This window comes from Homo sapiens, chromosome 9 (genome assembly GCF_000001405.40).
Source record: "Homo sapiens chromosome 9, GRCh38.p14 Primary Assembly".
Taxonomy (NCBI): domain Eukaryota; kingdom Metazoa; phylum Chordata; class Mammalia; order Primates; family Hominidae; genus Homo; species Homo sapiens.
Window position 1 is genome coordinate 72,047,885 of NC_000009.12, and position 26,322 is coordinate 72,074,206.

The window sequence follows — 26,322 nt, forward strand, 5'->3', positions numbered from 1 at the left end:
ACACTGTTTTCTTCTATTTCTTAGCTCTTGTGCTTCCTTTATTTTTTATTTTTGAGACGGAGTTTCACTACTGTTGCCCAGGCCAGAGTGCAGTGGCGTGATCTCGGCTCACTGCAACCTCCACCTCCTGGATTCGAGCAATTCTCCTGCCTCAGCCTCCCAAGTAGCTGAGATCACAGGCATGCACCACTACACCTGGCTAATTTTTGTATTTTTAATAGAGACGGGGTTTCACCATGTTGGTCAGGCTGATCTAGAACTCCTGAGCTCAGGTGATCCACCCGCCTCGGCCTCCCAAAGTACTGGGATTACAGGTGTGAGCCACTGTGCCCGGCCTCCTGTGCTTCCTTTAAAAGCCCCTATGTCTCATTTCTCAGAGGCCTGAAACATACACTGAAGAGTCAGAGTAGCAGCATCCCAGATGCTCAGCTTCTTGGCCCCCCACGTGGTTCTTTCAAAGGCTGGCATTTGAGGAGGAGTGAGGATCACTGCAAGTTCCTCTCAGCCACCTGTCAGCTCTGGAAGCTTCAGATTCCTTATCAGTACAGTGGGATAGCCGGTAATGGCTATCTCAGTTGTAAAAAGTGTGCTTCTTGGAACTTCAGAAGACGTAACTGAGTGCTCGCAGGCAAATGTTACATCTCTCCTTTGCTAATAGAATCATTTCAGTCTCTTCCGTGCCACATCCTCCAGATGCCCCTAATGTATTGACTGCAGAGACATTTAAATAAATTAGGAGGCATTAACCACTGACATTTCTATTTCAGTTGCAGGAAAAATGTAATCAACAAGGAAGCCAACCTAGTATTCAGAGGATCAAGGGAGGTTCCTGGATCCACAGGCCCTTCGGGCTGATGTCTCATAAATAGATCACATTCAGGCTAATCTCATATCACGTTGTCTTTGGGTGTGAAGGACTTGAAAAAAATAAACTTGTTAGCTAAATAAATCCTGAATGGATAGGGGCTTGAGTGGGAGGTGTCAGCTGAAAAGATGTGATCCCATGTCTGTAGGCCATCTGTGTGTTTCGAGGGAAATTATGACTGAGAGGTTGTGAGAATGAAAGGAAGACCATATGACACCGAGGTGTCTCTCTTGAAATTAGATCCCACAAAAATCCAGTATGGCCTGTGTTAACCTTGCGGGAAGAGAAATGCCACACCACCCACTGCATGACCAAGCCATTTCCCGTAGCTGCGGTAACAAATGACCACGTCTAACGAAAGCAAATTCATTATCTTACGGTGCTGGAGGTCAGAAGTCTGAAATGTGTCAGCAGGGCTGCATTCCCACTGGAAACTCTCGGGAGACTCCGCTTCCTTGCCTTTTCCAGCTTCTAGAAGCCACCCAAATTCCTTGGCTGTGACCCCCTCCTCCCTCTTCAAAGTCAGCAGCATAGTACCTTCAAATCTGTGACCTCTGCCTCCATAAACACATCTCCTCTTTCTTCGGCTCTCCTCCATCCTTGTGATTATGTTGGGCCTACCCAAATAAGCCAGGATAATTACCTAATCTTAAATCCTTAAATTAAGTACATCCACAAACTTCCTTTTGTCAGGCTCCAGGGATTAGATTGTGGACATCTTTGGGGAACTATCATTCAGTCTACACACCAAAGTTGTCAAAGTTATTTTTGTTTCCATGGTGACTGCTGGGTCAAACTGGCATGCAGGTAAACTGCTTCTGTGATTGTCACTGCTCTGGTGGCTGGCATTTCTCCTCTGTTTTTCATAGATTATACAGAGCTGGGTGTGAAACTGACCCAGTAGTCCCATGGACTGTTCTTTTTGATAAACACAGAAATTGATCTTTCTGGTCTTAAAGTTTGAAACTTTTGTTTTATCTGAGTTCCTTCCTCAGGAAAGGACCTTCAGACCTCTGCAAAAGGGTGTCAAAGAACTGCAACTCACCAGAGCACCAGGGTCCTGACAATGAGATGCCAGACCCCTCATTCATCATGACTGCTTACTTGCCCCTCCCTAGTTCCTGTTTTCTTACATATCGTTACATTTCTTCCCTGCTATGTAAACCTTTCGTTTTAGTGGGTCAGGGAGAAGGGTTTGAGACTGAGCTCCCATCTCCTCAGCTGCAGCACCCTGCTAAAGCCTTCCTCCTTGGCAATACTCGTCTCAGTGATTGGCTTTCTGTGCGGTCAGTAGCAGGACCTGTACCAAACCTGGTGTTTTGGTAACAGGTGCACAATGGTCATTTAATCAGGGCCTATCTCAGGGGCTGTGTTCAGCACCAGGTCTTATTTTTAATCTAAGAAAACAAGAAAATGGTTTTATTCGATGTTGAGTCATAAAATGCTAGAATTTGAGGAAATGTAAGAGATGGTGTGATCCAAGAATGAGGTGCAGAGAGGCTGACGGGACTTGCCGAGGTCAACAGCTATAATACTTAGTGAACCAAAAAACTAGCACCTGCTCCCTAGTTCTCCTCTCATTACATCACCCAGATTGTGAATTAGGCTTGGGAAGCACTCTGGAATTAGTGATGGTGTATGTGATTTTGTCATTCCCCAGCACCGTGATATCAGGTAAATAATGTAACATTTAAAAAAAAACTAAAGCCAGCTGGTCGCGGTGGCTGACGCCTGTAATCCCAGCCCTTTGGGAGGCTGAGGCAGGAGGATCATGAGGTCAGGAGATCGAGACCATCCTGGCTAACACAGTGAAACCCTGTCTCTACTAAAAATACAAAAAGCCGGGCGTGGTGGCGGGCGCCTGTAGTCTCAGCTACTTGGGAGGCTGAGGCAGGAGAATGGCGTGAACCCGGGAGGCGGAGCCTGCAGTGAGCTGAGATAGCACCACTGCACTCTGGCCTGGATGAAAGAGCGAGACTCCATCTCAAAAAAAAAACAAAAACAAAACTAAGGCCCAGCACGGTAGCTCATGCCTGTAACCCCAGCACTTTGGGAGGCCAAGGTGGGTGGATTGCTTGAGCCCAGGAGTTTAAGACCAGCCTGAACAACATGGTGAAACTCTGTCTCTACAAAAATTAGCGGGGGCATGGTTGTGTGCACCTGTAGTCCCAGCTAGCCTGGAGGCTGAGGTGGGAGGATCACTTGAGCCTTGAGAGCTTGAGGCGGCAGTGAGCTGTGATTGTACCACTATACTCCAGCTTGGGTGACAGAGCAAGACCCAACCTCAAAAAATAAAATAAGATAAAATAAAAAACCCAAGAGAAAGAAAAGTTAGATTTTCATGAAGTTCACTGATCTAAGGTAACCATTCTTCATCAATGTGGCTATGGCAAAATATGACAGAATAAGGGGAGCTAGATTTCAGTCTCAGGATGGAGACTTTTTTTCTTAGTTTCAGAGATATGGTCTAAGGAATATCGTTGAAACGTGTCTGAAGGGAAAAAAATCTAGCTTTCCTGGACTTTAAAAAAAAATGCTTGTTTTTCTTCAAAGTTGATAGAGAAGCATTTGTCGAGGGCTCACTATGTGAATGTGGTCCTAAGTCCCGAGAAAAAGACAGACAAGATTTTATTGACATTTATTATTTATTTTTTGAATTTTCAAACTCCTGAAAATACAGAGAAAGACAGTTTTAAATTAAATTTTAAATTAAATTAAATTAATGCAGTACTCTTCATGCTGCCAAAGTAGGGCATTGTAATAGAAGACGTAATGATCGCAAAATGGGAAATGTAGTTCAAAGTACGTTCCTACTCCTTTTAAATTCCTTGTGGTTGGGAACTTACTTCTCTGCTTACCTTGAACTGCTTAATCTGCCAAAATTGAACAAGCCAAAGCATTTAGGCATGGTTAAGGTACGGAAAATTCAAAATTTGGATAAACTCTGAGGCAGATGGAAGAAATAAGTGCCAGCCCTACCACCTGCCTCAGCCCTTTCCTGTTTGGGTTCATACTTTTCCCGCAGGCCTGGCTTGCTGATTCATGGCTTATTTTTTCCCTATAGTATATGTTAAGTCAGTTTCTTCTATACCATAAATCACCCCAAAGGAGCAAGGCAGTTTGCTTTGGAAACCAAATGAATATTCTCAGGTCACTTGCTGTCTTGTGAAACATTTGTAACCATATTTTGGAGTATGGAATTATTGAGGGAAATGAAAGTAGTTAGAGGTGACATGCCTAGTTTGACTTGGAGAATCACTAACATTTTTCCTTCTTTGTAGCCTTGTGGTAGGAAGGTAAATTAAGCAGAAGGAGGAGAGGAGAGAAATGGTGTTGAAAGGGCTATTTCTCAGATGAGTTGGAGGTGGTGGGGGAGATATTGGGAATATTGAAAACCAAAGTCAATTTCAGATCAAAATTCCTTCTACCTACAAGGGTCTGAGGTTTCTGAAGTGGGCTAATTGACAATAGCCATCATTTTGTGATAGCCAGGTCAGGCTTCGAGACTGATTGATCTGCCAAGCATTTTAGATATGGGCCACTGACTCAGAAATTGCACAAAGAATGATTGCAGCAGTGAGTAGTTACAAGTTCATGCAGTTGCAGAATTCTCTTGACGAGAGTACTCTTGAAGCACTCTGATGTGTTCTTTGTGCAGCCTTTGACTGAATACCATTGAATGCCACCTGACGGAGAGAAAAGAGGTAAGGAAATTTCTTGGGAGGTACAACCTATGTGGCCTCAGATGCTAATAGGTTAAAAAGAATACTAAGCAAAACTTTAGTTTTATCAAGGTACGAATCTAGCATTTCCACCATTAAGAATGGTTCATTTCATTATTTTACCTTTAAGAACTCCCACTTAGACTATTGTAGTTGGGTACATTGCATACACAAGATTTGAAACTGTAAAACAAAAAAGCTTTCAAACTCAGATTGTAAAAGCCATGCAATTGCCATTGACTATGTAGAATTTCTGAAGTGCAAGCTGTTTTGAAGCTTCCTGATAATCATCCCCCAGTTTTATCCAGGTTGTGAGTTATTCAAAGGGCTGAATGTACAGAAGGATCCTTTAGATGTGTTAAGGGCCTCTCAGAAATGGAGGTGTATGTATGACCTCACTTAATTCCTTCCCTGATTAAAGAAGTAATGCATGATCACTGTAGAAAACACAAAAAATGCACACAAGAACAAAATAAGTGACAGTAACATCCTGTAATTCTACCACCCCAGTTTCAGTTGTAGGTAGGAGGACAAAAGGAGCTATTCCCCAAAGACAGCAAAATGTGATGACTGGAAACTTGGACAAAATGGTGGGTTTTCAGCTGGGGATGATTTTGCTCTCCCTTTCCCAGCACATCGGGTAATACCCAGAGACATTGTTATTGTCAGAACTGGTTGGGGCGGCAGGGTGGGGTTGGAGGTGCTCTTGGCATCTAGTGGGTAAAAGCTATGATGCTGCTGTACATCCTACAATACAAAAGACTGCCCTCCATTACAAAGAATTCACCTGCCCAAAATGTCAATAGTGCAAAAGTTGAGAAACCCTATTGATAAAACTATCAAAAGCATGAGGATCAGTTGTTTGTCTTGCATTAGTGTAAATGGCAAATTTCCCAAATTAGGAAACTGCTCTTCCGAACACTGTAGTCATTCCAGGCCTTCGACCCATCAAGAACTATTGTTAATATTTTGTTGAATAAGCTTCCAGGCTCTTTCTTATACATAGAGTATTTTAATCCTAATTCTGGAGTCCGTCTGGCTAGATGACTCTCTGGCCACATTCAGGAAGAGAAGAGCCAACATCTCATGGGCCCAGGGAGTCTGGATATGTTTCCCATTCCATAAAGAAGGGGCTGTGACTAGCAGAGGGGAGAACTGACCTTGGAGAGGGGACCTAAACTAGAAAGATTGAACAGAACCCAAGTAACCCTCTTAATACCAAAACGCCTTGCGACGTGACCCCATGATTCTCATCCTCTCTCCAAACTAATTTTGATCTCCTCTAATTTTTGTTCTTCCCTTCCAATTCCACAGAAAAATTTAGAGTTTTGTTTTGTGGATTGTTATTCATCAGTGGTATACTGAACGTACTTGTTGGCAACTGAATTTTTTCCCACTCAATATGTTTAGAGATTCCTCCATGTTAACAAGGGGATCTGGTTCATTTTGAGTGTTGCATAGCACTCCATGACCTGCATGTAACACAGTTGAATGAATAGTTCCCTATAGATGAACGTTTAGGTCATTTCTTTTTGTATTTTTTTGAGATGGTGTTTCGCTCTTGTTGCCCATGCTGGAGTGCAATGGCATGATCTTGGCTCACCGCAACCTCCACCTCCCGGGTTCAAGCGATTCTCCTGCCTCAGCTCCCCAGGTAGCTGGGATTACAGGCATGCGCCACCACACCCGGCTAATTTTGTATTTTTAGTAGAGATGGGAGTTCTCCATGTTGGTCAGACTGGTCTCGAACTCCCCACTTCAGGTGATCTGCCTGCCTTGGTTTCCCAAAGTGCTGGGATTATAGGCGTGAGCCACCGCGCCTAGCCTATTTAGGTCATTTATATTACTTTACTATTAAACGTAATGCTGCAATGATAACCTTGATACATGTGTTAAATATAAATATTTTTCTGCAGTAGATACCAAGAAATAGAATTGCTTTGTCGAAGGCTGTGTTTATTTAAAATTTTAATGGAAATTCACAAATTGTCTAAAAAGATGCTGAACCAATCTAAGCTGTCATTGAAAATGTCTGAGCGTTCCCATTTCCCCATACTAACTCCTGATATAATAAAACTTTTATGTTTTTTACCAATCTGATGGGTTAAAAATATTATATTGTTTTCATAATTTGCATTTCCTTGATTTTTACTAACAAGGTTGAGTAGGCTTTTATATTTGTAGGTTACTTATATTGATCCTTGTGGGAATTGCCTTCCTACTTCCTTTAATAAGGTATTTACTCTTGATTGTTGGTCTTTTTAAAATTGTTTTTGAAGTTTTTTATTCTGGATAAATATTAATGTTATCCATGTTTCTTATATTTTCACCCAGTTAATTCCTTATCTTTTACATTTTGGAATTATCACACATTTTATAAATGTTAAACTCTTCATATATTCAAATGTATTCATTATTTCCTTTACAACTTTGGGGTTTGGGATTTTTTTTTTTTTTTTTTTTTTGAGACAATGTCTTACTCTTGTCACCGAGGCTGCAGTGCAGTGGTTCAATCTCGGCTCCCTGCAGCCTCCGCCTCCTGGGCTCAAGCAAGTTTCCTGCCTCAGCCTCCATGCTGAGTAACTGGGAACATGGTGGTGCAAGCCACCATGCGCGACTAATTTTTATATATATATATTTTTTTTTGTAGAGACAGGGCTTCACCATGTTGCCCAGGTTGGTCTTGAACTCTTGAGTTCAAGCAATCCACGCACCTCTGCCTTCTAAAGTGCTAGGATTATAGGCATGAGTCACTGTGCCCGGTCTGGATTTTGGATGCTAAAAGAGCCTCCATTGTTTCCTGCCTTCCTTCCTGCCTTCCTGCCTTCCTTCCTTCCATCCTCTTTCTCTCTTTCTCTTTCCTTCCTTCCTTCCTTCATTCTTTCCCTCCCTCCCTCCCTCCCTCCTTCCTTCCTTCCTTCCTTCCTTCCTTCCTTCCTTCCTTCCTTCCTTCCTTCCTTCCTTCCTTTTCGAGACATGATCTCACTCCATTGTTCAGGCTAGAGTGTAGTGGTGTGATCACAGCTCACTGTGGCCTCAACCTCCTGGGCTCGGGTGATCCTCCCACCTGGCCTCCCCGGTAGCTGGGACTGCTACAGGTGTGTGCTACCATGCCTAGCTAACCTCCATTCTTTCAAACTTAAAATGTTTCCCAGTATTTTCTTCCAATGTTTCATTATTTGGATTTTTATGTTTTGGAGAAGGCCAGTTTCACAGGCATGCAACTGGTGCACAGGGCCCAAGTTTAGAAGGGCTCTGAAAATTGTGTATTACTTTTTTGTGAGTACGTGAGTGGTGTGAATGAGACAATATATAGATTATTAGGAATGTGTGCTCTGGAGTCAAAGTACTCACATTTGAATCTTGTCTATAAGACTCATTAGCTATGTGACTGTGCAAATTACTTAATCGTTCGTGTCTCAGCTATCTCATCTTTAAAATGGGGATAGTGACAGGATCCATCCAGCTCTTTTCATTGTTTTGTTGGTGTAATGTAGCCCTGGCAAAGCCCTTAGTGTAGCATCTGGTATATGAAAGTTTGTTGTGATAAGCATTTTCCCTGTGCTTATTTTAATTAAAATTTTTAAAGTGTCAAAACTTACCTTGAATGTGGACCTCTTCTTTACAGTACTGACCAGGTTCTGCCTGGCAGGTTCCCAGGTCTAAAAGACATCCATGGAAGGGCAGTGAAAGATTGCATGCTCTGCAAATCAAACCTCCAACATCTCCAAGTACAGGGGCAGAAAAATGAGAAAGTAGTGATAGATACGAGAGAGAAAACGAGGAAGGAAGAGAGATCAAAAAAATAAAGTAGTGATTTTTGACTTTATATATATATATTTATGTTATATATATATTTTATGTTATATATATTAAATATATATATTTTATTTTTTTTTATGTTTTGGAGAAGGCCAGTTTCACAGGCATGCAACTGGTGCACAGGGCCCAAGTTTAGAAGGGCTCTGAAAATTGTGTATTACTTTTTTGTGAGTACGTGAGTGGTGTGAATGAGAAAGTATATAGATTATTAGGAATGTGTGCTCTGGAGTCAAAGTACTCACATTTGAATCTTGTCTATAAGACTCATTAGCTATGTGACTGTGCAAATTACTTAATCGTTCGTGTCTCAGCTATCTCATCTTTAAAATGGGGATAGTGACAGGGTCCATCCAGCTCTTTTCATTGTTTTGTTGGTGTAATGTAGCCCTGGCAAAGCCCTTAGTGTAGCATCTGGCATATGAAAGTTTGTTGTGATAAGCATTTTCCCTGTGCTTATTTTAATTAAAATTTTTAAAGTGTCAAAACTTACCTTGAATGTGGACCTCTTCTTTCCAGTACTGACCAGGTTTTGTCTGGCAGGTTCCCAGGTCTAAAAGACATCCATGGAAGGGGATTGAAAGATTGCATGCTCTGCAAATGTATACATATATATGTATACTTTTTTTTTTTTTTGAGACAGGGTTGCACTCCTGTTACCCAGGCTGGAGTGCAGTGGCACAATCTCGGCTCACTGCAACCTCCGCTTCCCAGGCTCAAGTGAGTGATCCTCCCACTTCGGCCTCCCAAGTAGCTGGGACTACAGGCACACACCCACCGTGTCCAGCTTTTTGTATGTTTAGTGGGGAGGATGGGGTTTCGCTATGTTGCCCAGGCTGGTCTCTCTGCTTTGGCCTCCCAAAGTGCTGGGATTAAAGGTGTGGGCCATTGTGCCCAGGAAGTAAGCAATATTTTAAAAATTCTAAAACCTAACGTAAATTATTATTTTTTTTTGAGATGGAATTTCACTCGTTGCCCAGGCTGGAGAGCAATGGCATGATCTCGGCTCACTGCAACCTCCACCTCCCGGGTTCAAGCGATTCTCCTGCCTCAACCTCCTGAGTAGCTGGGATTACAGGTGCACACCACCAGGCCCGGCTAATATTTTGTATTTTTAGTAGAGATGGGGTTTCACCATATTGGCCAGGCTGGTCTCAAACTCCTAACTCAGGTGATCTACCCACCTCGGCCTCCCAGAGTGCTGGGATTACAGGTGTGAGCCATCGCACCAGGCTAAAATTATTTTTTATTTTGAGAGTTTAATGAGGGAAATTTCGAAGCGTATGCTGTATTTATGAATTGGAAGCACCTTGAACTGTGGTAATCAGTCAGGAGCCCAGGTGGTCTAAACAACTTAGTTGGTTAAAATTCATTCAGTTCCTCAGTGCTTAATTAAATCACCCCAAATTTATTTTACCAGAAAATTTAATTTCAGCCACATATTCACTGTTAGGGCTTAATTTCAGTGCCTAAGGTAGCATATTATATATAGTCGATTCTTCATGAATATTTATTGCTTCATTAATGTTTACATATTGGTTATCTTCCATACTCAAATTCAGTGGCTTGAAAATATTATTCATTTTGTTTATATAGAAATAGCCCAGAGATTCTTGAACTGGTCAATACTGGTAAGATTGGAAGACATTATCTAGAAGATTGTTTTCCAAATTCTACTGTGCATCAGATTTCTTTAAGCAGATTAAATAAACTCACAGATTCCCAGGGCCCCCAAAAACCTGAGTTAGAATCTATGGAAGGTGGGGCTTGAGAATTTGTATTTTAGATCTGCAGAAATAGCTGAGGGGATATGATTTAGCAATCAATGTCTAGACCAATGTTTGTGAATCGTTGATGCTTCCAATTCAGGGATCTTTCTTTTTTTTTAGAGACAGAGCCTTGCTCTTTTGTCCAGGTTGGAGTGCAGTGGTGCAATCTCATCTCACTGCAACCTCTGCCTCTCAGGTTGAAGCAATTCTCCAGCCTCAGCTTCCCGAGTAGCTGGGACTACAGGCACCCACCTCCAAGCCCAGCTAATTTTTTGTATTTTAGTAGAGATGGGGTTTCACCGTGTTGCCCAGGCTGGTCTTGAACTCCTGAGCTCAGGCAATCTACCTGCCTCAGCCTCCCAAAGTGCTAGGATTACAGGCGTGAGCCACCGCGGCCAGCCTTAGGGATCTTTCTTATAGCTTCTGCAGGGAGCTTTGGCCAGTGATAGAGAACTGATCACCATTAAAAACAGCTCAGATTGTTAAAAGATTCTTTTGAAACTGAGCCAGAATTTCTCTGAGTGCTCACAGTTTCCATCTTCCACTATATGATGACCACTGCCATGTCACTCCTATTCATTGATGGCCCCAAAGAAGGGTTTACCAGATGTTTTCTGCAATGTGTTTTATATCTCCCTCTGCCATATTGGGAGATAGAAGAGAACATTTTTAATAGAAAACAGTGTGGCTGATGAGGCTAATTAACCTTTGTTGATGATTTTCCCCAGGCTCAACCTCATCTAAAGACACTTGGGAAATTTCACATTGGTTCTGCCACTAAGCGTGACAGACTTTCCATTCATAATCAATGATCAATCAACAATTTTTTTTTTTTGAAACAGAGTTTCACTCTTGTTGCCCAGGCTGGAGTGCAATGGCATGATCTTGGCTCATCGCAACCTCTGCCTCCTGGGTTCAAGCAATTCTCCTGCCTCAGCCTCCCGAGTAGCTAGGTTTACAGGCATGCACCACCACGCCCAGCTAATTTTGTGTTTTTGGTAGAGACAGGGTTTCTCCATGTTGGTCAGGCTGGTCTTGAACTCCCGACCTCAGACCTGATCCACCCGCCTCAGCCTCCCAAAGTGCTGGGATTACAGGCGTGAGCCGCCACGCTCGGCCCTACAATTTCTTAATAATTTTCTATCCTTTTAACTTATGCTTTCCTAATGACTTACCACCTAAGCGGCCGAATAAGATAACACCTAAGAGGCGGAATAAGATAACACCTAAGAGGCGGAATAAGATAACACCAGCAAAAACAATCCTTCTCATTCTGATTTCCAAGCCGAAAAGGAGATGAAAGGAAAGACACGTCCCACTGATTTCTGGGGAAGCAATAAAGTTACACATTTATGTTAGCTATTTTAAAAACGGAAAGGACTGGTTAAGTTTTATTGATTTCATTAAGACAATATAAATAAGTTTATTTTGTGAAGGAGGAAAAATAAGGTACCTGTCTTTATAAAAAAGTCACCATATGGCTGGACGCAGTGGCTCACGCCTGTATTCCCAACGCTTTGGGAGGCCAAGGTGGGCAGATCGCCTGAGGTCAGGAGTTCAAGACCAGACTGCCCAACATGGTGAAACCCCGTCTCTACTAAAAATACAAAAATTAGCCAGGTGTGGTTGTGGGTGCCTGCAATCCCAGCTACTTGGGAGGCTGAGGCACAAGAATCGCTTGAACCCAGGATGCAAAGGTTGCAGTGAGCTGAGATCAGGCCACTGCACTCTAGCCTGGGGGACAGAGCGAGACTGTAAATAAATAAATAAATAAACCCATAAAACTTCTAGTTCCAGAACATTTTAAGTTATTTTATTACCAAATATCACCTTCTCTCTTCAGTTTTTCCTCAGAATTATAATGGTTTCATACAGAACTATGAAGTGAAATAGATGATATTTCTAGAATAATATCCTGTTAGAAATCCTTTTAACTATTGGCCAAAAGGAAAATACACATATTCATTCATGCTCCTTTATGAATTATTATTATTATTATTATTTTTGAGATGGAGTCTAACTCTGTTGCCAGACTGGAGTGCAATGGCGTGATCTCAGCTCACTGCAACTTCGGCCTCCCCGGTTCAAGCGATTTTCCTGCCTCAGCCTCCCGAGTAGCTGGGATTACAGGCGCATGCTGCAACACCCGGCTAATTTTTGTATTTTTAGTAAAGACGGGGTTTCACCATGTTGGCCAGGATGGTCTTGATCTCTGGACCTCATGATCCACCCACCTTGGTCTCCCAAAGTGCTGGGATTACAGGCGTGAGCCACCACGCCCGGCCTATGAATTATTAATAATACTTTCACTGCAAAAGACCTTATTTATGAGGGAAAAGCATTATGTGATAGTTAACGATAGTTAATACTTATTAAAATGAAGGGAAGAAATTGTAAGATTGGGTAAAGTATAATATTTCAGTTGTTCATGACCTACCTATCTTTTTCATTAAGGTACTATGGAAATTTTCCTGGGTCTGAACTTTCTTAAAAGGATGAGAACGAGTACAATTTGTGATGTGATGAAGTCCGTTACAACTGAAAGCGACACTCTGATCCACTAGATTCCAAACAGTTTAAACAGTAAAAACTGACCGAGTAAATGTGAATATTTTTTCACTTGAACACTCTGATCTGTTTGGAACTTAATTTCCTTACTCATGAAATTAATATAATAAGGCTAAGTTGGTCAGTAGTTAAACTAACTAAATTTGGCTGAAGATTGCTATGTTCACTATGCAAAGATTAGGTAATTCAGAAATAGATTGCCTTGTGGGCATACTATCTATTTATTATGTAAAGTACTTGGTCTTAATTTTTAAAAAAATTCCATATAGTCTTTAAAGCAGCACTTAGTGCATTCAGAAAGCAATTTGAATTTTAAAAAAGTTTATTTCCAAATTAATATATAGTACCAAATTAATATACATTATTTTTGAAAAAATGAAAGTATTAAGAATGTTAAAATCCCCTTTGACTATGTTCCCATCAAACCCAGTGAGTGTCTCCTCCAAATGTAACCACATTATCAATATGTTGGGTATCTTTTTTTTTTTTAATCATTTCCTAAAGTTTATTCAAGGGTACTTTTTCTTCTGTGCATTTTCATCATAACACTTATAACATAGGATTGTGTATAATAATACTTTCTCTTTTACTTTTACAAAATAATATAATACTCTACATATTATTTTCCCCCTTATATTTCATTCAAAAATATGTTAAAAATCTTCTTATGTCAGTCTTCTTATGAAAGTTTGAAAAAACTTTCATTATTTTTCATTGCTATATAATATTTTCTGGTATGGATACATCATATTTATCCATTTCCTGGTTGATGAGCACATACCTTCTTTTTTTTAAAATAACAAACAATGCTGTAATGTGTGTATATGGACTTGGGCACATATGCAAATTGTTTCTCTAAGACAGATCCCGAAAATTGGGATTGCTTTTCCCAAGGCCTATCAAATTGCCCCTGAAAGTAGCTATAGAAATTTTGCCATCCACTGGCCAGGCACGGTGGCTCACGCCTGTAATCCCAGCACTTTGGGAGGCTGAGGCAGGCAGATCACGAGCTCAAGAGTTCGAGACCAGCCTGGCCAGCATGGTGAAACCCCCTTTCTACTAAAAATACAAAAAAATTAGCCAGGCGTGGTGGCAGGCGCCTGTAATTCCCGCTACTCAGGAGGCTGAGGCAGGAGAATCGCTTGAAACCGGAAGGCAGAGGTTGCAGTGAGCCGAGATTGCGCCACTGCCCTCCAGCCCGGACAACAAGAGCGAAACCCCGTCTCAAAAAAAAAAAAAAAAAAAAAATAGAAATGTTTCTACCCACCAACAGAGGATGAATACTTTCCCCCATATCCTCATTAATATTGAATCAAAGATTTGCAAAATAATATTTATTAATAGCTAAAAGTCTAGATTAACATGATCTTTTGCCTAGCAAGTTGCAGAGATGAAGAAATAGATGTATTATTATTGACAAAGGGTGTTCTCAAGTATGCACTTTTAGTCAAATGGTGGGGAAATGTAAATGAGTGTGTGTGTGTGTGTGTGTGTATTAATACATATGTTAGTACCTATACTCAAATATACATACATACATAATTTGTATCACCCCATAGCTATAACTTTGTAGCCTGTTCTTTTTAAAACTTAACTTCATATTTTGAGTACTTATTTTGTCATTAAATATTTCTTTCTTTTCTTTTTTGAGACGAGTTTTGCTCTTGTTGCCCAGGCTGGAGTGCAATGGTGCGATCTCGGCTCACCGCAATCTCTGCCTCCCAGGTTAAAGCGATTCTACTGCCACCGCGCCCGGCCAAGAATACATTTTTAAAGCTCCTGTAATATTCAACCATATAGAGTTACTATAATTTATTTAATAATCCCCTCGTGTTTGGGGATCTTTCATTATAATTTTATTTGTGTTTAAAATTTTCTTTAGGGTAAGTTCATAGAAACGAAATTATCAGAACAAAAACATAAACCTTTTATATAAGTTGGCCGGGCGCAGTGGCTCACGCCTGTAATCCCAGCACTTTGGGAGGCTGAGGCGGGCGGGTCACCTGAGGTTGGAGTTCAAGACCAGCCTGACCAACATGGAGAAACCCCATCTCTACTAAAAATAAAAAATTAGCTGGGCGTGGTGGTGCATGCCTGTAATCCCAGCTACTCAGGAAGCTGAGGCAGGAGAATTGCTTGAACCCAGGAGGTGGGGGTTGCGATGAGCTAAGATCACGCCATTGCACTCCAGCCTGGGCAATGAGAGTGAAACTCCGTCTCAAAACAAAACAAAACAAAACCCTTTTATATAAGCCTTTTGATACACATTGGAAAATAGTTTTCTAGAAAGATAATACCAATTTAGAGCTACAGTGTGGCATGTTCATCTTCAAATTCATGACTAGACCATAATAACCCCTCAGTTAATGCTACTTTTGCTTCCATTCCTTCTTGAGATTTTCCTCTTGTTTAAATGTCTTCATTACAAGTTTTTCTTTGGCTCTAATGTGCCACTATTAAAAATTTATTTTCTTGAATGAAAGTGACATTATCTGATTAGTCGATCAACAAACATAATGTTCATACAAATATAAATTCGTAGGTATAATGATGATATTTTTCATGATATATATTATCTGTTTTTCCTTTCCTTCAGTGAAGATTGTTTTTCTGACACCTCCTAATTGATACCTGTAGGAAATAGGTTTTGGTAAAAACAAAGAAATCAATATGGAATATGGAGCCCTGAAAGTGGCCACTGGTATCTTGGAGTTATAGGTGGGCATTTCATCTGAGATGCTCTAGCAAAGCTACCTGGATACAAAACAGTAATACTCAAGTCAATAGGAGTATTTACTGTATGATTCCATTGAATGTATGAAGTTCAAGATAGGTGACACTTATGTGTAGTGATTAAAGATGGAGTAGTGGTTATCTCTGAGCAGGAGGACTGACATGAGAAGGGGCATAACAAAGCCTTCTAGGCTGATGAAAATGTCTTATATTTGATGGGGGAGGTGAGCACATGTGTTTTTGCAAATATAAAGTGTTACTGAGCTGCACATCTTAGATTTGGACATTTTACAGAATAATACCTTCAGGGGTATATTTGTTTTCATTTCCCTCCTCATTAGTGATAAATCAGTGGAAAAATATTGCAAGCACCTCTGTATGAGTTAGGAATTTACTGATTGGTGTTAAGCACAGGAGTGACATTATTTATTCAAAAAATATTTATTCTCTGTCTGCTATGTTCCAGACAGGCTGATTTCTTTTCTTTTCTTTTTTTCTTCTTTCTTTCTTCCTTTTTTTGTTTTGAGATGGAGTTTCGCTCTTGTTGCCCAGGCTGGAGTGCAGTGGCGCGATCTCAGCTCACTGCAACCTCTGCCTCATGGGTTCAGGCGATTCTCCTGCCTCAGCCTGCCAAGTAGCTGGGATTACAGGCATGCGCTACCATGCCTGGCTAATTTTGTATTTTTAGTAGAGACAGGGTTTCACTAGGCTGATCTCGAACTCCTGACCTCAAGTGATCTACCCACCTCGGCCTCCTAAAGTGCTGGGATTACAGGCATGAACTGCCGCGCCCAGCCGATTTCATTTTTTTTTTAAAGAAAATAATTCTGCCAGAAGAGTGAATTTTAGTTTGGCAAAGATGAAAAAGGATGCAGGGAAAAAGGTAGGTGATGCATGAAGGGATGGCAAGGAGGAAACAGGTGAGAGGAATACTGAGGGCTCAGTGTTCAGCATCTTAACTCTATTGGTCTGTGTTTGAGGGAAAAGCTTAGTCTTAATCTTCTCTACCTCTAGTACTCCACTTAACACCCTTTAAAGGAATGATCTCTTTATATTCTCTCTCACCAGACCGTTAGTTCCCTGAGTGAAGAGATGCTATCTTGGTATCTCCAGCTTCCAACCGGGGGCTTGGCACAGAATAGGGGCTTGGTAAATGTTTTCCAAATGAATGGGATGTCTGATGGAAAGAAGACAAGGTGAAGGAATTCCTGGGTAATATGGAGATGAGAATCTGTGAGAAGGGTAAGTGACATTGGGTGACAAAGATGAATGTGAGGTTGGATGAACTGCCCTTGGGCTGGTGCGGGCTTTGGTTCCAAGTGGTGTTTAAGACCTGAAGGGATGAGCTGGCATCAGTTTTTTCTAAAGATTGCTGAATGGTTTTGCTGCCTGTTAAGACGCTTCTCTTTTGGCGGTAGGAAGAAAGAATTAGCTGGTGTCTGGGATGTAACCTTCCCAGTGAAATCCTAGAATCCAAGTCAGCAAGGAGTTCAGAGTCGAATTTAAAGTTGGACAGGCTGGGGCAACTTGGGAGAGTCTCTCCGGGCAAATCAGAACCCAGTTGTCTGCCTTCCTGGGTAGTCACCTTTGTGTTAACACAAGGAACCCTGGTGATCTTAACTTACTCCATCATCCTGGGCTTCAGTGTACTCATTTCTATAATGAAGGTACTGGAATATAGTATTCTGTCGTTCCACTAACTCACAAAGAAGGCAGCTCTTTCTGTTTTATTCCACCAGTTTTTAGTGAGCAGAATGAGATATTCTAAAATCACAGTGTAGATAAGAACTCCTTCGTAGCAAGAAATGTCATTTTCAGTCTACGAACTTTAATTTCTCATTCACAAGTCAAAGTGTATTCGCAGATACATGTACTGATGCCTGTCGCGGTGGACACACAGACGCACACATTGCGGAACACCACCAGTGAGTCACATTTTGGATGCTTGCCCTTGTATTCTGGTAGATACTGTGATGGTAAAAAACATGAAGAACATAATTTGAATTTTATGCTGGTGAGGGTCAAAGCAGACTTCAAAAGCACTGTAATATTTATTGCAAGAGGAGCAACTTACCTGTGGAGTCACTGTCATCCTAGTCTCTGTTGACTGATAATGAATTATATTGCTTTAAAGCTGGAAAACATTGCCAGCAACTGGCTTGCATCTAGACCTGGCAAATTCTTTTCTTTTAAAGTTTTGGTGTAAAAATCTACCATGTCTTATGACTTTAATTTGTCTAGCTTAGATAGAAGTCCCCAATTTATCATTTCTCATTCCTAATCCTTCGAGATGTTTTGAATAAAAAAATGTTGCACTGACAGGTAAGTTTGGAAACAAGCTATATATGTTATTCTGTAATGAAAAACTTAAATGTGCTTTGGAATATTAAAAAGTCCTAAGAATTACTGACATAAAGAAACTTTGTTTAAACCTGGTCTTTCCTGAATTTACTTGACCAGCTGGCTATTTTTTTCCCTTTAACCCCCCACCCCCCACCTTTTTTTTTTTTTTTTTTTTGAGATGGAGTCTTGCTCTGTGGCCCAGGCTGGAGTGCAGTGACACACTCTGGGCTCACTGCAACCTCTGCCTCCCACGTTCAAGCGATTCTTGTGCCTCAGCCTCCTGAATAGCTGGGATTACAGGAGTGCACAACCACCCCCGGCTAATTTTTGTATATTTAGTAGAGACAGGGTTTTGCCATGTTGGCCAAGCTGCTCTTGAACTCCTGACCTCAAGTGATCCGCCCGTCTCAGTCTCCCAAAGTGCTGGGAGTACACGTGTGAGCCACTGCACCCAGCCTCCTTTAATGCTTTTTAATATCCTTAAAAACAAGTCCTGGTCCAAATGGTGTCCCACTAATAACTATAGTCACTATAATGATGATGATAGCTTGCAATTGTCTCTCACTTTACACTTTAAAAGCATGTTTGGCTTCATAATTACCTTTACAAAGCCTTCTGATATTAGAGATAGAAACTGTTTTTATTCCCATTTGAGGAATTCAGGCTTAGAGAGATTACAAGATTTCCTTGATATGACACAATGAGTCAATTGTAGATCTGGGGAAAAAGAAACAACCAAATGTCCTCATTTTTCACGATGTTGTTAGAAATAAGGTGTATCGGCCAGGCGAGGTGGTCACGCCTGTAATCCCAGCACTTTGGGAGGCCGAGGCGGGCGGATCACGAGGTCAGGAGATTGAGACCATCCTGGCTAACACGGTGAAACCCCGTCTCTACTAAAAATACAAAAAATTAGCCGGGCGTGGAGGCGGGTGCCTGTAGTCCCAGCTACTCGGGAGGCTGAAGCAGGAGAATGGCGTGAACCCGGGAGGCAGAGCTTGCAGTGAGCTGAGATGGCGCCACTGCACTCCAGCCTGGGTGACAGAGCGAGACTCTGTCTCAAAAAAAAAAAAAAAAAAGTAAGAAAAAAAAGGAAAAAAGAAATAAGGTGTATCTCTTCTAAACCATCAAGGGAAAAATTGAGGAGTGTGAAAAAATATCTAGTCAGTTTAAAATGTATAGAAAGGAGGAAAAAATGAATAGATCAACAAGGCAAAATTTGGTTCTTAGAAATAGTAATAAAATCAACAAACTCTTAGTACAATTATTAAGAAAAAGCATATGAAGAAAAAACCTCAAAACAACGATTCAAACGACTATTGATTTCTTACCAGAAAACCATAAAAGGTAAGAAGACAGTGAAGCAACGTAATTAAAGGACACAGAGAAACGAACGGCCAAGCCCGAATTCTACATCCAGCAAAGGAAAAGATTTTTTATAAATGCAGGCAACATAGTTGCATTCTCAGGTGAAGGAAAAGTAACAGTTTGTCACCATCAGACCTACTCTAAATTTAGAGTCTAAAAAACATGCTGTAGTTCTAAGTTCTTCAAACAGCAGGGAAATGACACCTGAGAGCCTGGGAATTTCAAGAAGAACAACAAAATAGACTACTTTTTTCTTAAGTTCTTTAAAATACATGTGATAGGCTGGGCGTGGTGGCTCACGCCTGTAATCCCAACACTTTGGGAGGCCGAGGTGGGTGGATCACGAGGTCAGGAGATGGAGACCATCCTGGCTAACACGGTGAAACCCCATCTCTACTAAAAATACAAAAATTAGCTGGGCATGGTGGCTGGCGCCTGTAGTCCCAGCTACTCGCCAGGCTGAGGGAGGAGAATGGCGTGAAACTCAGGAGGCGGAGCTTGCAGTGAGCCAAGATGGCGCCACTGCACTCCAGCCTGGGCGACAGAGCCAGACTCTGTCTCAAAATAAATAAATAAATAAATAATATAAAATACATGTGATAGTTGAAAGCAAAAATTATAACATTGCTTGGTGGGGTATTCGATGCAGTATAAACAACTATAACATAGGGGAGGAAAAAGGGGCCATTGTGGTTGAAAGGCCTTTATATTTTATTTGAGGTGGCAAAATACCAGCTCTAAGTAGACTGTGAAAGGTATGTATATTGTAACCCCCACAGCAGCTACGTAAAAAATAACACCAAGAGATACAGCCTCTTAGTAATCAGTAGAACAAGTAGGCAGAAAATTGGCAAGGATAGAGAAGACTTGGAATTCTTTTAAGTGTTCATGGAGTATTCACTAAGACAGACCATATAATGGTTCATATAACAAACCTTAAAGTTTTTAAAGAATAGAAATCATTTAAAGGAGTTTCTCTGACCATAATGAAAGCAAATAGACTTTCCTATCTATTTCATGTGGGTGACAGATTTTTGGCAAAAGTCAAGAAGAGGCATGTGTTCAACAAATAATGCTGAAACAATCACCTGTTCATGCCTTTTCCCTAAAAAATACACCTCAACTCTTATCTTACACTTTATACAAAAATTAATTAAAAATGCATCATAGAGTTAAATATAAAACATAAAACTATAAATTTTCCAGAATAAAACATAGGATAATTTAATTTTTTTTTGAGACAGAGACTTGCTTTGTCACACAAGCTGGTGCAATGGTGCAGTCACGGCTCACTGAAGCCTTGGCCTCCCGGCTCAAGCGATCCTCCCACCTGAGCCTCCTGAGTAGCTGGGACCACAGGTGCATACCATTGTGCCCAGCTCATTTTTAATTTTTTTTTTTTTTTATAGAGACAAGATCTCACATGTTGCCCAGGCTGGTCTCAAACCCCTGGGCTCAAGTGATCCTCCCACCTCAGCCTCTCAAAGTTCTGGGATTATAGGAATGAGCTTATAGGAGAATTTTTGTGAAAGCAGAGTTCTTAGACACCAAAAGCATGATTCATAAAAGTAAAAAAAAAAAAAAACAAAAAACAAACTAATAAATTGAACTTCATCCAAACTAAAAATATTTGTTCTCCAAAAGACATGAATGAAAGGACAAGCTATAGACTAGAAAAAAATATTTGTGGCTGGGCGTGATGGCTCACACCTGTAATCCCAGCACTTTGGGAGGCCGAGGTGGGTGGATCACAAAGTCAGGAGATCGAGACCATCCTGGCTAACACAGTGAAACCCCATCTCTACTAAAAATACAAAAAATTAGCTGGGCGTGGTGGTGGGCACCTGTAGTCCCAGCTACTTGGGAGGCTGAGGCAGGAGAATGGCGTGAACCCGGGAAGTGGAGCTTGCAGTGAGCTGAGATCACGCCACTGCACTCCAGCTTGGGAGACAAAGCGAGACACCGCCTAAAAGAAAAGAAAAAAAGTATTTGTAAATCATGTGTCTGATAAAGGCCTTATATTCAGAAAACATAAAAAAATTCCAATAATATGAAAACAACTCAATTAAAGAAAAATAAGCAAAGGGTCTAAACAGACATTTCCCCAAAGAGGATACATGGATGTCAGATAAGCATATAACAAAATGCTCAATATCATTAGTCATTAGCAAAATGCAAATTGAAATTATAATTAGATACCAATATATACCTATATTGAACGGCTTAAATAACTTAAAAAGAAACTTGACAATACCAGGTAATGGTGAGGATGCAAAACACTTGGAAATCTCATTTATTGCTGGTGAGAATGCAACATGGCACAGCCTCTTTGGAAAAGAATTTGGGAGATACCCAATAAAGATAGACATATACTTACCATGTAACTTAGGAATCTCATGCCTATGTATCTACTCTGGAGAAATGAAAGTGTACATTCACTCAAAAACCTGTATGTGAATGTTTACAGCAACTTTATTCATAATTGCCTCACACTGGAAATAGTCCAGATGCCCTTCAATTGATGAATGGATAAACAAATTGTGCTTTGTCCATACAATAGAATACTACTCAACAATGAAAAGTAATGAACTACTGATGCACAAACAACATAAATGGATCTCAATTTCATTATACTGAATGACAGAAGCCATACCAAAAAGGCTACATATTCTTGGATACCATTTACCTGACACTCTTGAAAAGGCAAAAACTTTTTCCTGGAGAGTGGTTGACAGGGGTTAAGGGTGAGAGGAAGGATTGACTATGAAAAGACAGCATGGCTGGGCATGGTGGCTCACGCCTGTAATCCCAGCACTTTGGGAGGCCAAGGTGGGCGGATCATGAGGTCAAGAGATCGAGACCATCCTGGCCAACATGGTGAAACCCTGTCTCTACGAAAAATACAAAAATTAGCTGGGCATGGTGGCACGTGCCTGTATTCCCAGCTACTCGGGAGGCTAAGGCAAGAGAATTGCTTGAACCCAGGAGGCGGAGGTTGCAGTGAGCCGAGATCATGGCACTGCACTCCAGCCTGATGACAGAGTGAGACTGTCTCAAAAAAAAAAAAAAGAAAGAAAGAAAAAAGAAAACCCTAAAGACTCATCCAAAAAGCTCCTAGATCTAATAAATGAATTAAGTTTCAGGATACAAAATCAATGTACACAAATCAGTAGCACTGCTATACACCAAGAATGACCAAGCTGAGAATCAAATCAAGAACTCAATCCCCTTTACAACAGCTGCAAAAAAAAAAAAAAAAAAAAAAGTTAGGAATAGACCTAACCAAGGAGGTGAGAGATTTCTGCAAAGAAAACTGCAAAACACTGCTGAAAGAAATCGTAGATGACACAAACAAATGGAAACACATCCCATGCTCATATATGGTTAGAATCAATATTGTAAAAATGAACATACTGCCAAAAGCAATCTAGAGATTCAATGCAATTTCTATCAAAGTACCATCATCATTCTTCATGGAAGTAAAAAAAAAATCCTAAAATTCACATGGAACCAAAAAAGTGCTCACATAGCCAAAGCAACACTAACATAAAAGAACAAATCTGGAGGCAGCACATTACCCAACTTCAAATTATACTACAAGCCTATAGTTATCAAAACAGTATGGTACTGGTATACAAATGGGCAGGTAGACCAATGGAACAGAATAGAGAACCCAGAAATAAAGTCAAATACTTACAGCCAACTGGTCTTCAACAAAACACACTAAAACATAAAATGGGGAAAGGACACCCTATTCAATAAATGGTGCTGGGATAATTGGCAAGCCAAATGTAGAAGAATGAAAGGGGACCCTCGTCTCTCACCTTATACAAAAATCAACTCAAGGCTGGGCATGGTGGCTCATGCCTGTAATCTCAGCACTTTGGGAGGCCAAGGCGGGTGGATCAGAAGGTCAGGAGATTGAGACCATCCTGGCTAACACGGTGAAACCCCGTCTTTACTAAAAATACAAAAAATTAGCTGGACGTGGTGGCGGGCGCTTGTAGTCCCAGCTACTCAGGAGGCTGAGGCAGGAGAATGGCGTGAACCCAGGAGGCGGAGCTTTCAGTGAGCCGAGATCACACCACCGCACTCCAGCCTGGGTGACAGAGCGAGACTCTGTCTCAAAAAAAACAACTCAAAATGATCTGAGACTTAAATCTAAGACCTGAAACCATAAACATTCTAGAAGATAACATTGGAAAAACTCTTCTAGACATTGGCTTAGGCAAAGAATTTATGACCAAGAACCCAAAAGCAAGTGCAACAAAAACAAAGATAAATAGATGGGACCTAATTAAACTAAAAAGCTTCTGCTCAGCAAAATAATAATGATAATAATCAGCAGAGTAAACAGACAACTCACAGAGTGGGAGAAAATCTTTGCAAGTTATGCATCTGCCAAAGGACTAATATCCAGAATCTATAAGAAACTGAAACAAGTCAGCAAGAAAAGAGCAATCCCATCAAAAAGAGGGCAAAGGACATGAATAGACAATATCTCAGAAGATTAAAAACAGCCAACACATGTGAAAAAACCCTCAACATCACTAATTATCAGAGAAATGCAAATTAAAACCACAGTGAGATACCACCTCACTCCTGCAAGAATGGCCATAATTAAAAAATCAAAAAATAATAAATATTGGCATGAATGTGGTGAAAAGGGAACACTTTTACACTGCTGGTGGGAATGTAAACTCGTACAACCACTATGGAAAACAGTGTGGAGATTCCTAAAGAACTAAAAGTAGAACTACCATTTGATCCAGCAATCCCACAACTGGGTATCTACCCAAAGGAAAAGAAGTCATTATATGAAAAAGACACTTGCACATACATGTTTATAGCTGAACGATTCACAATTGCAAAAATATGAAACCAGCCTAAATGCCCATCAACCAACAAGTTGATAAAGAAAATGTGTTATATATACACCGTAGAATACTACTCAGCCATAAAATGAAACAAAATAATGATCTTTGCAGTAGCTTGGATGGAGTTGGAGGCCATTATTCTAAGTGAAGTTAGCTCAGGAATGGAAAACCAAATATTGTATGCTTTCACTTATAAGTAAGAACTAAGCTATGAGGATGAAAAGGCATAAAAATTACATAATAGGAGGGGGGCTGGCTAGATGGCTGAATAGGAACAACTCTGGTCTGCAGCTCCCAGCAAGACCAATGCAGAAGGCAGGTGATTTGTGCATTTCCAACTGAGGTACTTGGTTCATCTCACTGGGACTGGTTACACAGTAAATGCAGCCCATGGAGGGCGAGCAGAAGCAGGGTGGGGCATTGCCTCACCCGGGAAGTGCAAGGGGTCAGGGAACTCTCTCCCCTAGCCAAGGGAAGCCGTGAGGGACTGTGCCATGAGGAATGGTGCACTCCAGCCCAGATGCTATGCTTTTCCCGTGGTCTTCACAACCCATAGACCAGGAGATTCCCTCGGGTGCCTACACACCCAGGGCGCTGAGTTTCAAGCACAAAAGTGGACGGCTGTTTGGACAGACACTGAGCTAGCTGCAGGAGTTGTTTCTCCTACCCCAGTGGCATCCAGAACACCAGTGAGACAGAACCATTCACTTACCTGAAAAGGGGGGCCGAAGCCAGGGAGCCAAGTATTCTAGCTCAGTGAATCCCACCCCCATGGAGCCCAACAGGTTAAGATCCACTGGGTTGAAATTCTTGCTGCCAGCACAGCAGTCTGAAGTCGACCTGGGACACTCGAGCTTAGTGTGGGGAGGGACATCCACCATTACTGAGGCTTGAGTAGGCAGTTTTTCCCTCACAGTGTAAACAAAGCTGCCAGGAAGTTCGAACTGGGTGAGGAACCCACTGCAGCACAGCCAAGTGGCTATAGCCAGACTGACTCTCTAGATTCTTCCTCTCTGGGCAGGGCATCTCTGAAAGAAAGGCAGCAGCCCCAGTCAGGGGCTTATAGATAAAACCCCCATCTCCTTGGGACAGAGCACCTGGGGAAAGGGGCGGCTGTGGGCACAGCTTCAGCAGACTTAAATGTTCCTGCCTACCAGCTCTGAAGAGAGCAGTGGATCTCCCAGCACAGCGCTTGAGCTCTGCTAAGGGACAGACTGCCTCCTCTAGTGGGTCCCCGACCCCAGTGCCTTTTGACAGGGAGATACCTCCCAGCAGGGGTCAACAGACACTTACAGGAGAGCTCCAGCTGGCATCTGGCAGGTGCCTCTCTGGGATGAAGCCTCCGAAGGAAGGAGCAGGCAGAGCAATCTTTGCTGTTCTGCAGCCTCCACTGGTGATACCCAGACAAATAGGTTCTGGAGTGAACCTCCAGCAAACTCCAGCAGACCTGCAGAAGAGGGGCCTGACTGTTAGAAGGAAAACTATCAAACAGAAAGCAATAGCATCAACATCAACAAAAAGGACTCCCACGCAAAAACCCCATTGGAAAGTTACCAACATCAAAGACCAAAGGTAGATAAATCCATGAAGATGAAGAAAAACCAGCACAAAATGGCTGAAAATTCCCAAAACCAGAATGCCTCTTCTCCTCCAAAGGATCACAACTCCTCGCCAGCAAGGGAACAAAACTGGACAGAAAATGAATTTGAGAAATTGACAGAAGTAGGCCTCAGAAGGTGGGTAATAACAAACTCCTCAGAGCTAAAGGAGCATGTTCTCACCCAATGCAAGGAAGTTAACGAGCTTGATAAAAGGTTACAGGAACTGCTAACTAGAATAGCCAGTTTAGAGAAAAACATAAATGACCTGATGGAGCAGAAAAACAGAGCACGAGAACTTTATAAAGCATACACCAGTATCAATAGCCAAATCAATCGTGGAAGAATCAAAAGTGGAAGAAAGGATAACAGAGATTGAAGATCAACTTAATGATATAAAACATGAAGACAAGATTAGAGAAAAAAGAATGAAAAGGAAAGAACAGAGACTCCAAGAAATATGAGACTATGTGAAAAGACCAAATCTATGTTTGATTGGTGTACCTGAAAGTGATGGGGAGAATGGAACTAAGTTGGAAAACACTCTTCAGGATATCATCCAGGAGAACTTCCCCAACCTAGCAAGACAGGCCAACATTCAAATTCTGGAAATACAGAGAATACCACAAAGATACTCCTCGAAAAGAGCAGCCCCAAGAG

At 41.3% G+C, this 26,322-nt stretch overlaps 1 protein-coding gene and 1 long non-coding RNA gene across 10 annotated transcripts in view, besides 1 other annotated feature; one reads left to right on the forward strand and one right to left on the reverse strand.

Moving 5' to 3' along the window:
- Positions 1-26,322, forward strand: part of LOC101927108 (uncharacterized) — a 60,297-nt gene that overhangs the window by 17,829 nt on the left and 16,146 nt on the right. For 5 of the 8 annotated variants that reach the window (XR_002956888.2, XR_929919.3, XR_242613.4 and 2 more), the window contains exons 1-3: positions 12,437-12,924; positions 16,545-16,718; positions 17,341-17,401. This is a non-coding gene — a long non-coding RNA (uncharacterized LOC101927108). Of the gene's footprint in view, positions 1-12,436; positions 12,925-16,544; positions 16,719-17,340; positions 17,402-19,153; positions 19,289-26,322 lie in introns of those variants that run through there. The other 3 variants (XR_001746719.1, XR_001746720.2, XR_929921.3) reach the window with 2 other exon arrangements.
- Positions 339-1,538: an enhancer, noted in NCBI's record as "BRD4-independent group 4 enhancer chr9:74663139-74664338 (GRCh37/hg19 assembly coordinates)". NCBI's record gives its function as "activates an origin of replication core promoter dependent on BRD2, P300/CBP, MED14 and CDK7 cofactors, and independent of BRD4, by STARR-seq in HCT116 cells {active_cell/tissue: HCT116}" and the evidence as "EXISTENCE:reporter gene assay evidence [ECO:0000049][PMID:35650434]".
- C9orf57 (chromosome 9 open reading frame 57) lies at positions 3,492-12,729 on the reverse strand. 2 transcript variants are annotated; one of them, NM_001128618.2, is made up of 5 exons: positions 12,613-12,729; positions 11,351-11,500; positions 8,900-8,959; positions 8,190-8,312; positions 3,492-4,551 (listed from the first exon to the last, which is right to left on the reverse strand). In NM_001128618.2, exons 2-5 carry the CDS (start codon positions 11,445-11,447, stop codon positions 4,412-4,414), a joined length of 420 nt encoding a protein of 139 aa, NP_001122090.2. In that variant the 5' UTR covers positions 11,448-11,500; positions 12,613-12,729; the 3' UTR covers positions 3,492-4,411. The 2 variants fall into 2 exon arrangements, with proteins under 2 accessions (NP_001122090.2, NP_001358539.1); NM_001371610.1 differs by lacking the exon at positions 11,351-11,500.

Bases quoted from the DNA above. Each gene is read 5' to 3' on its own strand.
- C9orf57 (NM_001128618.2), bottom strand. From the start codon at position 11,447: ATGAGAAGGATTGTTTTTGCTGGTGTTATCTTATTCCGCCTCTTAGGT. The intron at 8,960-11,350 runs GTAAGTCATTAG...GATGTCTTTTAG, and splicing joins CTTATTCGGCCGCTTAGGTG to ACCTGGGAACCTGCCAGACA. The intron at 4,552-8,189 runs GTAAGTTTTGAC...TCTCTCCGTCAG, and splicing joins AGAAGAGGTCCACATTCAAG to GTGGCATTCAATGGTATTCA.